The 16,603-nt window shown below is 54.4% G+C and overlaps 1 protein-coding gene, 1 long non-coding RNA gene and 1 other non-coding gene across 6 annotated transcripts in view; 2 read left to right on the forward strand and 1 right to left on the reverse strand.

The window, feature by feature from the left end:
* AP2A1 (adaptor related protein complex 2 subunit alpha 1) overlaps positions 1-16,603 on the forward strand; it is a 40,114-nt gene that overhangs the window by 16,610 nt on the left and 6,901 nt on the right. For all 4 annotated transcript variants that reach the window (NM_014203.3, NM_130787.3, XM_011526556.3 and 1 more), the window contains exons 5-11: positions 8,325-8,454; positions 9,381-9,482; positions 12,020-12,128; positions 15,192-15,342; positions 15,717-15,885; positions 16,019-16,156; positions 16,358-16,540. In NM_014203.3, coding sequence (NP_055018.2) covers positions 8,325-8,454; positions 9,381-9,482; positions 12,020-12,128; positions 15,192-15,342; positions 15,717-15,885; positions 16,019-16,156; positions 16,358-16,540 — 982 coding nt within the window. The remainder of the gene's footprint in view (positions 1-8,324; positions 8,455-9,380; positions 9,483-12,019; positions 12,129-15,191; positions 15,343-15,716; positions 15,886-16,018; positions 16,157-16,357; positions 16,541-16,603) is intronic.
* MIR6799 (microRNA 6799) lies at positions 8,256-8,324 on the forward strand. The gene has a single exon (NR_106857.1). It is a non-coding gene; the product is annotated as a microRNA 6799 (primary transcript).
* On the reverse strand, positions 13,736-16,540 carry LOC124904742 (uncharacterized). The gene is made up of 2 exons (XR_007067290.1): positions 15,995-16,540; positions 13,736-13,947 (listed from the first exon to the last, which is right to left on the reverse strand). It is a non-coding gene; the product is annotated as an uncharacterized LOC124904742 (long non-coding RNA).

The raw sequence follows: 16,603 nt of genomic DNA on the forward strand, positions 1-16,603 counted from the left end.
GAGGAGCACACAGGCCACAAGCTAAGAGAAGCCGGGCACCCAAGCAGATGAGCCGCGTGCTGGAGCCAGCATTTGCTTAGAAGGCATTTGCTGAACTGGGTGAACCCGAGTATCGGTTTTGGGGCCCTGCAGCCTCTGGGAACAGAAGACAAAGCTTGTCCGAGAAGTTCTCGAAGGCTGTACTTCAAAGTGAGAGTGACCTAGAAATAAACCCCCTTGGGGACTATGAGGAAAATTACCTGTCTGAAACGTTGGCACGGAGCAGCCCTCAGACTGGTTTTCAGCCTGACTTTACCCTATCTGGGTAGTCCAAAAGCCCCTAAGTCAACCTTTAGTTTAAAGTGATGGAAACTGGAGGTTCCCTAGTGCTTCACAGAAGCAAACACGAGCCTTTTCTGAGGAAGCCCATTTTCACCACAAGCTTCAGTGATATCCACAGATAAAGCTCCAAATGATATGAGTAGCTCACAGCCAAAAATCTCTAAACACATGACACAAGACACCATGAGGGAGAACCAGCAGAAATAAAACAGAAGGCCGGGCGTGGTGCTCACGCCTGTAATCCCAGCACTTTGGGAGGCTGAGGCAGGCAGATCACCTGAGGTCAGGAGTTCGAGACCAGCCTGGCCAACATGGCGAAACCATATGTCTACTAAAAATACAAAAATTAGCCAGGTGTGGTGGCACATGCCTGTAATCCCAGCTCCTCTGGAGGCTGAGGCAGGACAGGAGAATCACTTGAACCCGGGAGGCAGAGGTTGCAGTGAGCCGAGATCATGCCACTGCACTCTAGCCTGGGTGACAGAGCAAGACTCTGTCTCAAAAAAAAAAAAGAAAAAGAAAACAGAAAATAACTTTGGAATTGGAATTATACAGAATGTAAAAGAAGTATATTTCATATGTTTCAATAAATAAGAGAAGCATTTTAAAATATGAGTAAAGTTTAAGCAGATTTGAAAATATAATTGAAATAGTCAAAAATTGCCAGGCACAGTAGTGGCTTACACCTATAATCCAGGCACTTTGGGAGGCTGAGGTGGGAGGATCACTTGAGGCCGGAAGTTCAAGATCAGCAACATAGTGAGACCCTATTGCCACAAAAACTAAAATATTAGCCGGGTGGGGTGCTGTGTGCCTGGGTAGTCCATCCAGGAGGCTGAGGCAGGAGGATTGCTTGAGCCTGGGAGGATGAGGCTGCAGTGAGCTATGATCTCATCACTGCACTCTAACCTGGGTGACAGAGTAAGACCCTGTCTAAACAAACAAACAAAAAAAACCAAAAAACAAATAAATGTTTAAAACATTAAAAATTAGGTGTCTGAATTTAGTTAGCAGAGTAGGCACAGCCAAAGCCAGAATTAGTGGCCTGGCAGTAGAACTGAAGAAAGACATCAAAATGCAGCCCAAAGAAGACAAAGCGATGGGGATTTTAGGAAAGAGACAAAGACTCATGGAAGACAGAGAACATCTAACAGAATTGCCATTTAGAGTTGTAGGGAGAGATCGTGACATAGGCAGTGTTCGAAGAGAGATAATGGTTGAAAATATTCCAGAATGGATGAAAGAGGCTGATCCCCAGATTCAAATAGGCCAGGAAATCATAAGCAAAAGTACAGACTGTAGGGGGTGACTGTGGGGCAGCAAGACCAGCCAGGCATCTGTCACCAGGTCCAGGTCAGAGCTCGCGGTGGCTTGGACCAGGGCTGTGGCGGTCATGTGGTTATGAGAAGGGCATGTTTCGGGAGTAGAGTCGATGGATTATATGTGCTGTGCTAGGATGAGGTGGGGACATTGAACAGGTGAGTGAATGATGGCAGACCTTTCAGCAATGTGACAAAGGCCATAGGAAAATGGGTCAGAGAGGGCAGAACCTGAGTGTGGTTTGGTCATGCTGAATTTGAGATGTGTATTAGACATCTGAGTAGGACTCTGGGGAGGAAGTTGGATTGCAGGGAGTCAGGGCGGGAGGGAGAGAGATCTGAGAGAGATCGGCACCGTCCAATAAAAATATAATGCAAAATACAGGCCAGGCACAGCAGCTCACACCCGTAATCCCAGCACCTTGGGAGGCCAAGGTGGGCAGATCACTTGAGGTCAGGAGTTCAAGAACAGCTTGGCCAACGTGGTGAAGCCCCGTCTCTACTAAAAATACAAAAATTAGTCAGGTGTGGTGGCGGGCACCTGTAATCCCAGCTACTTGGGAGGCTTAGGCAGGAGAATTGCTTGAACCCAGGAGGTGGAGGTTGCAGTGAGTGGAGATTGTGCCACTGCACTCCAGCCTGGGTGACAGAGCGAGACTCCATCTCAAAAAAAAAAAACATTAGTGGGGTGCAGTGGTGCACACCTGTAGTCCCAGCTACTCAGGAGGCTGAGGCAGGAGAATCGCATAAACCCGGGGGGCAGAGGTTGCAGTGAGCCGAGATTGCACCACTGCACTCCAGCCCGAGTGACAGAGTGAGACTCCATCTTAACAAAAAACAAACAAACAAAAAGCAAAATACAAATGTGTGCCTGTAATCCCAGCTACTCGAGTGACTGAGATGGGAGGATTGCTTGAGCTCAAGAGGCCCAGGCTGCAGTGAGCTGTGATCATGCCTAGGTGACAGTGACACCCTGTCTAAAAAAAATATAATGCAAGCCACATAGGTGTTTTTCTGTTTTCTAGTATTTAATATTTCAGTTTAACCTGATCCACACAAAATATTATCACTTTGACACTGAATCAGCGTAAAAATTATTCACGAGCTATTTTATTTGACATCTGTGTTTGGTGCTAAGTCTTTGGAATGCGGCGTTGCGGGTGTCTCTCAGTTTGGACTCGCTGCAGTTCCAGTGCTCTGGGGGCTGTTGTATCTGACAGCATGGGGATTGATGGCAGTTAAGCTCGGGCCTGGTGAAGCCCCTGAGGGCAGGTGTTAACTGGGAATTCCCAAAAGCTGGGCCCTTGAGTGGCCCTGGTGCAGCCCAGCGTGTTACGCTCTGGCAGGGGGGGTGGGAGTCATGATCAGGGGTGTGGGAGGAAAATCAGGATCAGGCCATGACTCAGAATGCTAAGAACTTTGATGGAGGAGGGAGTGGCCAGTCGCAAATGCTGCCAGCAGTTTCTTTAGGACAAGGACAGGCAGTCAGCATCAGCTTGGGGGAGACAGAGGTTACAAGCCACCCTGAAGAGGGAAGAACCGGGCACTTTGAGGACTGAGAGGGAGGCCACCGTGGCCAACATGTGTGGGTGCAGATGACATTGTCCCTGGAGTGGATGCCGAGGGGTGGTGCTCTGCCAGGGTCAAGGGGCCAGGGTGGGGCTGTCTGGCTCTAGGCTGCCCCCTCCACACTGGAAACTTGGCCTCAGCAGTGACTGGGGCACGAAGGAACTTTATTTTGTAGGTAGACTTTTATTTAACTTTTTATTTTTTGGAGACAGGGTCTTGCCCTGTTGCCCAGGCTGGAGTGCAGTGGCACAGTCTTGGCTCACTGCAACCTCCGACTCCTGGGCTGAAGCGATCTTCCCACCTCAGCCCCCTGAGTAGCTGTGATTATAGGCGTGCACCACCATGCCTGGCTAATTTTTGTATTTCTTTTTTTTTTTGTAGAGATGGGGTTTTGCTATGTTGCCCAGGCTCCAGGCTGGTCTTGAACTCCAGAGCTCAAGCAATCCTCCTGCCTCAGCCTCCCAAAGTGTTGGGATTACAGGTGTGAGCCACCACTCCCATCTAGGCTTTTTTTGTTTGTTTTTTTTGTTTTTTGTTTTTTTTTTTTTGAGGCAGTCTCTCTCTGTCACCCAGGCTGGAGTGCAGTGGTGCAATCTTGGCTCACTGCAACCTCTGCCTCCCAAGTTCAAGCAATTCTCTTGTCTCAGCCTCCTGAGTAGCTGGGATTACAGGTGTGTGCCACCACACCTGGCTATTTTTTTTTTTTTTTTAGTAGAGACGAGGTTTGCCATGTTGGCCAGACTGGTCTCAAACTCTTGACCTCTATTGATCCATCTGCCTCAGCCTCCCAAAGTGCTAGGATTACAGGCGTGAGCCTCTGCGCCCGGTCATTTTAACCATTTGAAGGTGTTCAGTTCAGTGGTTTCTAGTATATTGATGATGCTGTGCAACAACCACTACCACCTAATTGCAGAACACTCATTGCTCCAAAAAAAGACTCTGTACCCATTAGCAGTCCCTCCCCATTCCCTCTTCCCCCCAGCCCCTGGCTGCCACCAATCTGCTTTCTGTCACAGATTTGCCTAATGTGGACATTTCATAGAAATGGAACCGCACAGTAGGTGGCCTTCTGTGTCTGGCTTCTTCCACTCAACAAGATGTTTTTCAGGTTCATCCACATTGTGGTGCATATCCGTGATTTGCTCGAGATAGAGTCTCACTCTGCTGCCCAGGCTGGAGTGCAGTGGCATGATCATAGCTAACTGCAGCCCTGACCTCCCAGGCTCAGGTGATCCTCCCACGTCAGCCACTCCAGCAGCCGGGACTACAGGCACAAGCCACCAGGCCTGGCTAATATTTGAATTTTTTATAGAGACAGGGTCTCACTATATTACCCAGGCTAGTCTTGAACTCCTGAGCTCAAGTGATCCTCCGTGGCCTCAGCTTCCCAAAGTGCTGAGATTACAGGCGTGAGCCACCGCGCCTGACTTGTGGTTTTATTTTTTATACTTGAATATGCAGCTTGATATTGTGTAGTTTAACATTTTCCTAAGTAGCGCCATAGCCCTTATTCCACTTAACCAAGTTGATAAATAGCTCTTATTCCTTTGTGTGGTATCCTTATCTGTAAATGGAGATGATAGAATCCGCGTCCTTAGAGGGCTGTGGTGGGGAGCGAGCGAGCTGTGCGGGAACACTTAGAGCAGAGTTTGGCCCAGAGTCAGGACTCGGGAGATGCGCTGTGGCTCAGGAGATGTGTGCCGTGGCAGCGATGGGAAAGTGGCCCAGAGTCAGGGCTCGGGAGATGCGCTGTGGCTCAGGAGATGTGCGCCGTGGCAGCGATGGGAAAGTGGCCCAGAGTCAGGGCTCGGGAGATGCACTGTGGCTCGGGAGATGAGCGCCATGACAGAGATGGGAAGGTGGCCCAGAGTCAGGGCTCGGGAGATGCGCGCCGTGACGGAGATGGGAAAGTGGCCTGGAGTCAGGGCTCGGGAGATGTGCGCTGTGACGGAGGTGGGAAAGTGCCGTCACAAATGGAGCATCGTCTGTGGCCAGGCTTCTTGCTGGTTTCTGGTTCTAACTTGATGACCACTGGGCAGTGAACGTTTCTGTAGGGTGAGCGTCTGGGGGCAGCACTGCTGGTCTTGGTCTGCTGCACACACAGCAGTGGCCTTTCTAGACAGAGGAAGCCCAGAGCCTCTCCAGAGGGCCTGTCCCTGTGTCCGCCTCCAGCTGCAGCACACGAGGGTTCCCAGCACTTTAGGAGGCCGTAGCAACAGGCGTCAGTCGGGCGAGTATCTGCCTGGATGACGGCAGGAGCCACCTGCTGGGTGGCTGCACATCCAGTGAGACATGCTGCCACAGGCCTTTGACTCGTGCAGGTCTCCCCTCTGAGGACTTCTCCCCTGTGTCTTTTGCTGTCTGTTGGGTGCTTTCTGGGAAACCCTTTACTGATAGGCCATGGCTGGGCCAGTCTTGACAGCTCCCAGCACCTCCTCTTACTCAAGGCTATGGCCATGCACCACACAATCTCATTTCTGTTTTTTTTTGAGACGGAGTCTCACTCTGTCTCCCAGGTTGAAGTGCAATGGTGAGATCTCAGCTCACTGCAACCTCTGCCTCCCAGGTTCAAGCGATTCTCCTGCCCCAGCCTCCCGAGTAGCTAGGATTTCAGGCACGTGCCACCATGCCCAGCTAATTTTTGTATTTTTAGTAGAGATGGGGTTTCACCATGTTGGCCAGGCTGGTCTCAAACTCCTGACCTCAGGTGATCCACCTGCCTCAGCATCCCAAAGTGCTGGGATTATAGGTGTGAGCCACTGCGCCTGGCCTTTTTTTTTTTTTTTTTTTGTAGAGACAGGGTTTTACCACGTTGGCCTGGCCAGGCCGGTCTCAAACACCTGGCCTCAAGTGATCCGCCTGCCTCAGCCTCCCAAAGTGTTGGGATTACAGGTGTAAGCCACCATGCCTGGCCCACCATCTTATTTCTTTCTCCCCAAAGCCGACAAGGCTCCTCATTTTCCTGAAGGGGAAACAGCCCATCAGAGAGGGTCAGTGGCTTACCCCCATCTGTGCCCCACAGTCACAACCTCATGCAGGCGTGTCTGACCCCAGAAGGTGCTCCCCTGGGATCCTCTTCTAGAACAACATCATGCTCCATGCTCTTTGCTGTGCTAGGAGCTGGGTTATGGTTGGGGCCTGGAGTCAGCCCTCTGAGATGGGCTGCCCGCTGGCTGCCAGGTTCTGTGCCAGGCAAGTGCTGACCCTGGTTTCCTGTGACTGCTGTGATGAATTACCACCAGCACAGCGGTGTCAAACACCGGTTCTGGATGTCGGAAGTCCAACATCCATCTCACGGGGCTAAAATCAAGGCGTGGGCAGGGCTCGTCCCTTCCGGGGGCCCTAGAGGAGAGGCCGCGTCCTTGCCTTCTCCAGCTCCTAGAGGCCACCTGCTTTCCTTGGCTCGTGGCCCCTTCCCCCATCCCCAAAGGCAGCAGTGTGGCATCTTCTCTCCTGCCTGACCTCTGTTCCATCCTCACATCATCTCTGACTCTGAACTGTATCTTTCCCTTATAAGGACCCTGTGATGACATTGGGTCCACCTGGATCACCCAGGATCCTCTCTCCATCTCATGATCCTTAACTTTATCATATCTGCAAAGTACCCCCACCCTTTTTTTTGTTTGGAGACAGGGTCTTGCTCTGCCACCCAGGCTGCAGCCTTCACCTCCCAGGCTAAAGCGATCCTCCCACCTCAGCCTGCCAAGTAGGTGGGTCTACAGGCATGCGCCACCACGCTTGGCTAATTCTCATATTTCTAGTAGAGATGGGGGTCTCACCATGTTGCCCAGGCTGGTCTCCAACTCTTGGGCTCAAGTGATTCTCCCACCTCAGCCTCCTAAAGTGCTGGGATTACAGGCGTGAGCCACCCTAACCCCCAGAACCTGTGAATATATTCCCTTGGATTCAAAAGAGCCTTGCAAAGTCTGTTCCCTCACAACAGGCAGAGGGACCCTTTAAAAACCTAAGCCAGATCAAAAATACACCCATTTTCTCAGTTTGTTGTGGAGAGAAGATAAACGTGTGAATCCACCCAGAGACCTGTGGGAGTGCTGGACAGGCCGAAGGGGTCCGGGGGCAGCTGTTCCTGCTGTCGTGTTAACATCACGCTGATTCTCTGCTCACCACCCACAGCGGCTTTCATCTCCCAATCGGTAAAAAGCCAAGTCCTCACTTCAGCCAACAAGGCCCTGCAGGGTCTGGCTCTCTGTTCCCTCCCTGTCCTATCTGCAGCCCTCCTGCCCCATGGCTCAGGCCGCAGCCTGCAGGCCTCCTTGCTGCTCCTCCTACACACGGGCTCCGCCTTCCTGATGGCCTTGGCACAGGCTGTTCCCTCTGCCTGGGATGTTCTGTTGCAGAGGATTTTCAGTCTTTCCTCCTTAAGTTACTCTGTTTTGTTTATTTTTAAATTTTTTTATTTATTTAGAGACAGCTCTAACTCTGTTGCCCAAGCTAGAGGGAGTGCAGTGGCACAGTCATGGTGCACTGCCGCCTCGACCTCCCAGTCTCGAGCAATCCTCCCACCTCACCCTCCCGAGTAGCTGGGATTACAAGCCTGCGCCACCACACCCAGCTAATTTTTGTATTTTTGAAGAGACTGGGTCTCACTGTCGCCCAGGCTGGTCTTGAATTCATGGCCTCAAGTGATCCTCCCACCTCGACCTCCCAAAGTGCTGGGATTATAGGCGTGAGCCACCATGCCCAGCCCTGACAGTATTTGATGTATGTGTTTTCGTGGTGCTGTCTGAAATGTAAGCCCTGTGAGGACAAGTGTTTGGACCACTTTATTCACCACTCTATCCATGGAGTGAACAGCAGTGCCTGGTACCCCATGGGCACCCAGTAGGTGCTTGGTGAATGAATGAAGGTGCAGAGCCAGGCTTGACATGTTCCTGAGCCCTGTGAGGTTACTGAGATGCAATCATTTTGCAGATGAAGACACTGAGTCCTGGTGGGCCGTGAGGTCAGCGCCAGACTGGATCCTGCGGCCGCCTGGCTGTCTGTCCCTCTCGCTGGCCTCGCACACCCTTCCTGGGAGGAACAGGAGAGGAGGGGAGGTGTGCAGGGCTGGGGTCACTGACTCTGCTTCCCCTGCCCTGCATGGTGTCCCCACAGGGACAGCATGGACAGTGTCAAGCAGAGTGCGGCCCTGTGCCTCCTTCGACTGTACAAGGCCTCGCCTGACCTGGTGCCCATGGGCGAGTGGACGGCGCGTGTGGTACACCTGCTCAATGACCAGCACATGGTGAGCCCCCAGCCCTCACACCCCCGGATACCCAGGGCTCCCACCTCAGCCCTGACCCCCCTGGATGCCCGGGGCTCCCACCTCAGCCCTCACACCCCCGGATACCCAGGGCTCCCACCTCAGCCCACGCACCCCCTGGATGCCCGGGGCTCCCACCTCAGCCCTCACGCCCCCGGATACCCAGGGCTCCCACCTCAGCCCTCACGCCCCCTGGATGCCCAGGGCTCCCACCTCAGCCCTCACGCCCCCGGATACCCAGGGCTCCCACCTCAGCCCTCACGCCCCCGGATACCCAGGGCTCCCACCTCAGCCCTCACGCCCCCTGGATGCCTGGGGCTCCCACCTCAGCCCTGATCCCCCTGGATTCCTGGAGCTTCCCCCTCGGCGCTGACGTTCACCAGACACCAGAAACCATGATCCAGTGTCCCCGGTACTCATTACCTGCCCAAGTGTCCAGAAACCCTCCCATCCCCATCTCTGACACTCCCCTGGCTGGCCAGGGATCCTGTCCAGTGACCCCCACACCCCTCACCAACCACCCAGTCCCTTAGAAAATCCCACTCTGTTTCTAATACCTGGAGATTCCCCCAACAGCGCCCATCACCTGCGCACCAGCGCAGAAACCTTGACTGTCCCACCCCCACAGTCCCAACCCTCTAGAGTCTCGCCCCTTCACTGCTCCTTACCCAGCTGCCTGGGGTCCTGCCAGGGACACCCCACACACCCAGGTCAGTGCTGGCCATGGCGCCCGAGGCCCCGTGGCCTCCTCACCCCACCCCTAAAGCACGCACAGTGACACATGTGCACACCCCTAAACCCCATCTTCCCGACTGCACACACATCCCGACCCTGTCCCGCTCCTGAGCCTCTGCTCTCAGGTACCACCTCCCCCAGGGGCCTGACTTGTCTCTCCTCTGCCCCTGCAGGGTGTGGTCACGGCCGCCGTCAGCCTCATCACCTGTCTCTGCAAGAAGAACCCAGATGACTTCAAGACGTGCGTCTCTCTGGCTGTGTCGCGCCTGAGCCGGGTGGGTGTGGCCTAGATATTGGCTGCTGGAGGTGGCCCTGGCATCCCTATGCCCTCTGACACCCCTCAGGCCCCCACTCTCCCTGAGAGGCAGCCCAGCCCAAGGTTTACAAACTCAGGCTCTGAGCTGGATTCATCCTGGCTCGGCCTCTTCCTGGCTGGGTGGCCCTGGACAAGTGGCTTCACCTCCCTGGCCTCAGCTGCCCCCTGTGTTCAGTGGGGATAATACCGGTGCCCACCTGGAGGCACAGAGCGCTGTGGATAGAGTGCTCAGAACAGGGCCTCGCGGGCCGAGCACCCCGGGAGCCAGCCGCCCTCATGACCTCCTCCCTCTCCCACTTCTCTCTCTGTCTCCCACTTTCCCTCTTCTGGCTTTGCCTCCCGCCTCTCTCTTTCCTGTGCAGCCTCTCACTCCTGCCTGGCGTCCCTCTCCCACCTTTGCTCCTGTCCTGCCCAGGAACATCCCCTGAGGCCTTGTGCATGCCAGGCTCCATGTCGGGTGACACCAGGGACACAGATGAGTCAGAACCAAGCTCTGCTCTTAAGGAGCTCCCTGTCCTTCTGGCAGGGAGGTGACTCAGTCACAGATTGTCAGAAAAGGGGTGACTCGTGCTATAATGGAGGTAGGATAGGTCACCCATAGGAGGCACTTAACACAGCCTGTGAGTCCACGAAGGCTTCCTGGGGGCGGCGATCCCAGAATTGAGACTTAGAATACACATGCGCATCTCCTGGGCAGTCAGGAAGAGGCCTGGATTCGCAGGCAAAGAGAAGAACACACCAGCTCGTGCATCCACTCATTGTTTCTTTTTTTTTTTTTTTTTTTTTTTTTTTGAGACGGAGTCTCGTTCTGTCCCCAGGCTGGAGTGCAGTGGCGCGATCTCGGCTCACTGCAAGCTCCCAGGTTCACGCCATTCTCCAGCCTTAGCCTCCCGAGTAGCTGGGACTACAGGCGCCTGCCACTATGCCCGGCTAATTTTTTGTATTTTTAGTAGAGACAGGGTTTCACCGTGTTAGCCAGGATGATCTCGATCTCCTGACCTCGTGATCCACCCGCCTCGGCCTCCTAAAGTGCTGGGATTACCGGCGTGAGCCACTGCGCCTGGCCCACTCATTGTTTCTTTCTCAGGTTTTTTTTTTTTTTGAGACAGGGTCTTGCTGTCGCCCAGGCTGGAGTGCAGTAGTGCAGCCATGGTTCACTGCAGCCTCTGGCTCCTAGGCTCAAGCGATCTCTCGCCTCAGCCTCCCGAGTAGCTGGGACTGCAGGTGCCTGGCTAATTTTTGTATTTTTTGTAGAGATCGGTCTTGCTTTGTCGCCCACACTGGTCTCAAACTCCTGGCTTCAAGTGATCCTCCCGCCTCAGCCTCCGAAAGTGCTGGGATTACAGGTGTGAGCCACTGCACTCAGCCTCAGTCATTGTTTCATTCATTCATCACACATCTGAGTACTGCAGTGTGCCAGGATGACAGTGAGGTAGGAACACAGACCAGCACGGAGGTGGGACAGAGCTTCCTGGAGAAGGGCTTTTCAAGGTTGAATAGGAGTTTGCAATGAGGAAAAAAAGTCACATGATCTTTCTTTTTTTTTGAGATGGAGTTTCGCTCTTATTGCCCAGGCTGGAGTGCAATGGCGTGATCTTGGCTCACTGCAACCTCTGCCTCCCGGGTTCAAGCAATTCTCCTGCCTCAGCCTCCCAAGTAGCATGGATCACAGGCATGTGCCACCACGCCCAGCTAATTTTTGTATTTTTAGTAGAGATGGGGTTTCACCATGTTGGTCAGGCTTGTCTTGAACTCCTGATCTCAGGTGATCCACCCACCTTGGCCTCCCAAAGTGCTGGGATTACAGGCGTGAGCCACTGCACCTGGCCATGATCTTTCAATCTTTCACTAATTCCCTGCCTCTTCCCCGAACCTCTTCCTATCTGACCTTGTATTAGGCCTAGGGACCCAAAAAAGGGTCAGACCCAATCCCTGCCCCTGAGTGGCTTCAAGCCTTGTAGGGGGACTACAGGAAACAGCCTCCAGGAGCCGGTGCGCTGTGTGCTCTGACGGAGGAAGCCTGGGGCATGGGAGGCTCAGAGCCGAGTGAGGAGGGGGCCCTGGGAAACTGTCACACAGAAGGGAACCAGCAGAGACCTTTCCTGCCCACCACACACCAGCATTACTTGGAAAGATCAACCAGCCGGGCTTAGTCCTAGTTTTGCCCCCATTCAGTGTGCCTGACGCTTCCTCGCTCCCTTCCCAGAGCCTCAGATTCCTGCTTCATAAAACCATTGCATTGGTCGGGCATGGTGGCTCATGCCTGTAACCCCAGGACATTGCGGGACTGAGGTGGGAGAATTGCTTGAGGCCATGAGTTCGAGACCAGCCTGGGCAACATAGTGAGACCCTGTCTCTACAAAAAAAACCCACTAACAAAACCATTAACACTGACAGCACTGCCCTTGGAAGGCACCATTTGCTCCACCCTGGCATGTGGACCCACGTGCCCCTCCCACCCCAGCCCCCAACTTATTTCTTGCTCTTCCCCGCCAGATCGTCTCCTCTGCCTCCACCGACCTCCAGGACTACACCTACTACTTCGTCCCAGCACCCTGGCTCTCGGTGAAGCTCCTGCGGCTGCTGCAGTGCTACCCGCCTCCAGGTAATGAACGCCGTGCACTCCCCAACCCGGGGTGGCCTGCTGCTGGCATCTGGGGGCCTCCTGCTCCACGGCGCACCAGGTGGGACTGGAGGGTCTGGGTCAGGATTTCTCTGAAGCTGGGGCGGTTCCTCTGTCCCCTTACGTGGCTGCACTCGGGGAGGCAAGCAGGCAGCCCGAGGCCCAGCGCCTACCCTGTGCAGCATCGTGGATCAGCCTCATAGCTGAGGTCCCTGCTACCCGGGCTCTCACTCCAGCCCTGTTGCGAGGGACTGTTAACTGTGCCTGTTTTATAGATGAGGAATCTGAGGCTTGGAGAGGGAGCTCCTGGCCCAGCGTCACTCACCCGGTCAGTGGGTGATTCCAGGCCGTGCTACCTGAATTACCATAGCCCTGTCAGGGGTTTTCACATCTGTTGGGAACCTTCCCCTACTGCTCACAGTCACAATAGCCAGTGTGTATGAAACTCCTGTAGTGAGCCAGGCACTGGGCAGGGGGCACCTGCACCTGCCGAACAGAGCTGGCAAGGAGGAACAGCCAGTGTGATATGCACACAGGGAAACTGAGGCTTGGAGGTGAGACATCACCATTCTAGGCAGTAAGTGGCAGTTGGCCCCCAGACTCTCTGCTCTAAACCCCTCCCTCTGCCACTGAGCTCCCCCGAGCTTCTGTCGCCTTGGCTGACTGACCTCATGGAGCAGTTTCTTCGGACCCTGTGCTGAGGGGCTTGGCACACAGTAGGTGCTAATGCACCAGTTCCCTCCATTCAGCCAGCATGTCCAGCACCTGCCAGGGGCCAGGGCTGATGTACACCACCAAATCTCTGGGTGTGCATGCCTGTCTGTGTGCATGCCTGCATGCGTGCATGCGTTCGCCTGTGTGTGTCGATACCTGCCCGTGTGCATGCATGTCTGCGTGCATCCCCTGTGTGTGGATGTGTCATTGTGTGTGCATCTGTATGTATGCGTGTCTGTGTCTATATGTGGCAGTGTTCATGGTATCTCTGTGTCCCTCTATGTGTGTACATGTGTATATATCAGTGTGTGCATCTACATGTGTACCTGTGCATGCAAGTGGATGTGTACATGAGTGTAGATACCTGTGTGCATGCCTGTGTGTGCGTGTCTCAATGCTTGCCAGCATCTACGTGTGTCCATGCATGTCCCTCTGCACATGGTGTGTGTGTACACACTCTGAGTATACGATATGGAGGTGACACCAGAGGCCCATCGTGTGTGAAGCCAGTGATGAATTCTGTTGTGTGGCCCTGGGGACATGTCTTCCTTCTCTGGGCCTCTTTTTCGTCCTGTCAAGAAGGGCTTAAGTCATGCTCTAAGCCCATGACCACCCCAGAAGGCCCAGCTGGTAATTCTGGGGTACACCCATTGCAGGCACCTCACCCACTCCAACCCTCGGTGGTGTAGGAACTGGAGACACAGCCTTGTCCTGAGGCTGGGCCTGAGGACACACCAACCCTGTGTCACCTCCTTTTCAGCAAATGGTGGTGGGCTATTGCCAATTTGTTTGCAAGTCATTTTTTTGTCATATGCATTATGAAAAGTTTCCCAGCATCCAGATAAGTACAGAGATTTCATTACTTGGACTTCACATTTTGCCATGTATGCATGCTCTTGTTTATTTTCTTCTGAAATATTTAAAAGTAAATTACAGACATCATGATGTTTTGCCTTTAAATATGTTGTTCTGGGCCAGGCACAGTGGCTCACGCCTGTAATCCCAGCAATCTGGGAGGCCGAGGTAGAAGGATCACTTGAGCTCAGGAATTCGAGACCAGTCTGGCCAACATGGCAAAACCCCATCTCTACAAAAAATACAAAAAATTAGCCAGGTGTGGTGGTGCATGCCTGTAGTCCCAGCTACTCAGGAGGCTGAGATGGGAAGATCGCTTGAACCCGGGAGGTGGAGGTTGCAGTGAGCCAAGATTGTGCCACTGCACTCCAGCTTGGGTGACAGAGTGAGACTCTGTCTCAAAAAAAAATAAAAAAATAAAAAAACAGAATATATATCACAGTACAATCTAGGATCACATATTCAATCGGATTCTGCCAGGCTCAGTGGCTAACACTGTCATCCCAGCACTTTGGGAGGCTGAGGCAGAAGGATCGCTTGAGCCCAGGAGTTTGAGATCAGACTGGACAACATAGTTGCCCTGTTTCCAAAAAATAGGATTTAAATTGGATTCTGTCTTTGTTATTTCTCGTAGTCTGGACTAGCCCCCCTACACCTGTTTATGGAGAAACCAGGAGATGCCATTGCTGTGTGTCCCATGGTGGCGACTGGGCTCATTGCTGCCTTGTGGTGTATTTTAGCTTGTTCCTCTATCTGGTGAATTTTCCTGCGGAAAATTCTGCAGAAAAATCTGCGGAACCATTTTTTGCTGGAACGCTTGACAGCTCTTGCATACACTTGAAAACACGTCACATTCTAGGAAACGTGGTGATTGGTGCTCCTGTGAGCTGCTGGCTGGCATCTGTCAGTGGTGGAGAGCTCTGGGGGGTGAGGGGGCACCTGGTTGAGCCTTGTCTCCTTTGGCCTCCCAGCCTCTAGGCCAGGAGGATGGCACCGAGTGTGCCTGCAGTGGCCTCTTGCTGAATGGACACTTGGGTGGGTGGCTTGTGCATTTTTGTCAGGGGCTGCTCAGCACTCACACCAGTCCTTGGGAAGGCCTGGGTTTGGGGGCACCTCTGGGGAAGGTTCCTGGAGCTTCCTTTGCTCTGTGAGAAACCTAAGGAGCCTCAGAGCTGCAGATGAGGAAACTGAGGCTCACATGGTGCCACCTCTTGCCCGAGAGGGTCAGAGCAGGAGGAGAGCCCAGGTCTGGGGATAGATCTTGTGTCTCCAGAGGTGCCTTGTCTCACCATCTCTGCTGGGCTGGGAAGAGGTTGAGGGAGCAGAGACCCTGGCCCTGAGCTGCAGAATTCTCGAGTGTCAGAGGCACCCCGAGCTCCTCCTTTGGAAGACAGGAGCTGGGGCATGGCCACCACCCCAGCAGGTGTGCCAGGTGGGCAGGACACTCAGCCGGGGGCGTCCCCTTCGTTTCCCCAGAGGATGCGGCTGTGAAGGGGCGGCTGGTGGAATGTCTGGAGACTGTGCTCAACAAGGCCCAGGAGCCCCCCAAATCCAAGAAGGTGCAGCATTCCAACGCCAAGAACGCCATCCTCTTCGAGACCATCAGCCTCATCATCCACTATGACAGGTGCCCGCCTGGGCCTATCAGGGCCTGATGCCTGGGGCCAGGAAAGAGGGGCATGGAGGCCCGGACTCCTGAGTCCTAGGCAGAGGGCAGGGAATCTTGACTTTTAGGTAGGGTAGGAGGAGGATGGGGCTGTGAAGTGTCACCTGTGAGGTTGGTGCTGGGGCCCTTCCTGGGGGCAGAATTGCTAGGTATCTTTCTCTGGGCTCAAAGGCCCAGTTGTCTGGGTCACTGGAGGTGCAGTACTGCGATGCAAGGCCGGCAAGGTTAAGACCTGGATCCTTGGGGGCTGTGAGATGGGTCAGCTGGGGCCCGAGTCCTCCACCTTCTCCTGTCAGTTTCTCTCACCATCCCTCTCTTGTGGCCCCTGCTGGCAGTGAGCCCAACCTCCTGGTTCGGGCCTGCAACCAGCTGGGCCAGTTCCTGCAGCACCGGGAGACCAACCTGCGCTACCTGGCCCTGGAGAGCATGTGCACGCTGGCCAGCTCCGAGTTCTCCCATGAAGCCGTCAAGACGCACATTGACACCGTCATCAATGCCCTCAAGGTGTGAGCCCTTGGAGCCCACCCCGGGCCTGCCACCCCCCTCAGAAAGACCAGAGGCTCAGAGGCCCTTGGGTGGCCAACCCTGTGCCAACAGGGAGTCTAAAACACACCTGGGCTCTGCTCTCCGCCCTCAGACGGAGCGGGACGTCAGCGTGCGGCAGCGGGCGGCTGACCTCCTCTACGCCATGTGTGACCGGAGCAATGCCAAGCAGATCGTGTCGGAGATGCTGCGGTACCTGGAGACGGCAGACTACGCCATCCGCGAGGAGATCGTGAGTGCTGTGGGGTGCGGGCTGGACTCTTGGGTCTGAGGCAGGAGGTGGCTGGGGGCCTGGATTCCTAAGTCTAAGGGAGGAGGGGCTGGGGCCTGGACTCCTGGGTCTCCAGATGGGGGCAGTGGTGAGCCCAGATCCAGGTGAGTGAAAGCCCGACATGGCCTGCGGCACACTCTCTCTCACACGCCCCGGCGGCAGGTCCTGAAGGTGGCCATCCTGGCCGAGAAGTACGCCGTGGACTACAGCTGGTACGTGGACACCATCCTCAACCTCATCCGCATTGCGGGCGACTACGTGAGTGAGGAGGTGTGGTACCGTGTGCTACAGATCGTCACCAACCGTGATGACGTCCAGGGCTATGCCGCCAAGACCGTCTTTGAGGTCAGCATCCCTGACCCTGACCCTATGACCCCACGACAGGACCTAGAGGCAGAGCAAGGATGG

Source organism: Homo sapiens, chromosome 19 (genome assembly GCF_000001405.40).
Source record: "Homo sapiens chromosome 19, GRCh38.p14 Primary Assembly".
NCBI classification, from domain to species: Eukaryota; Metazoa; Chordata; class Mammalia; order Primates; family Hominidae; genus Homo; species Homo sapiens.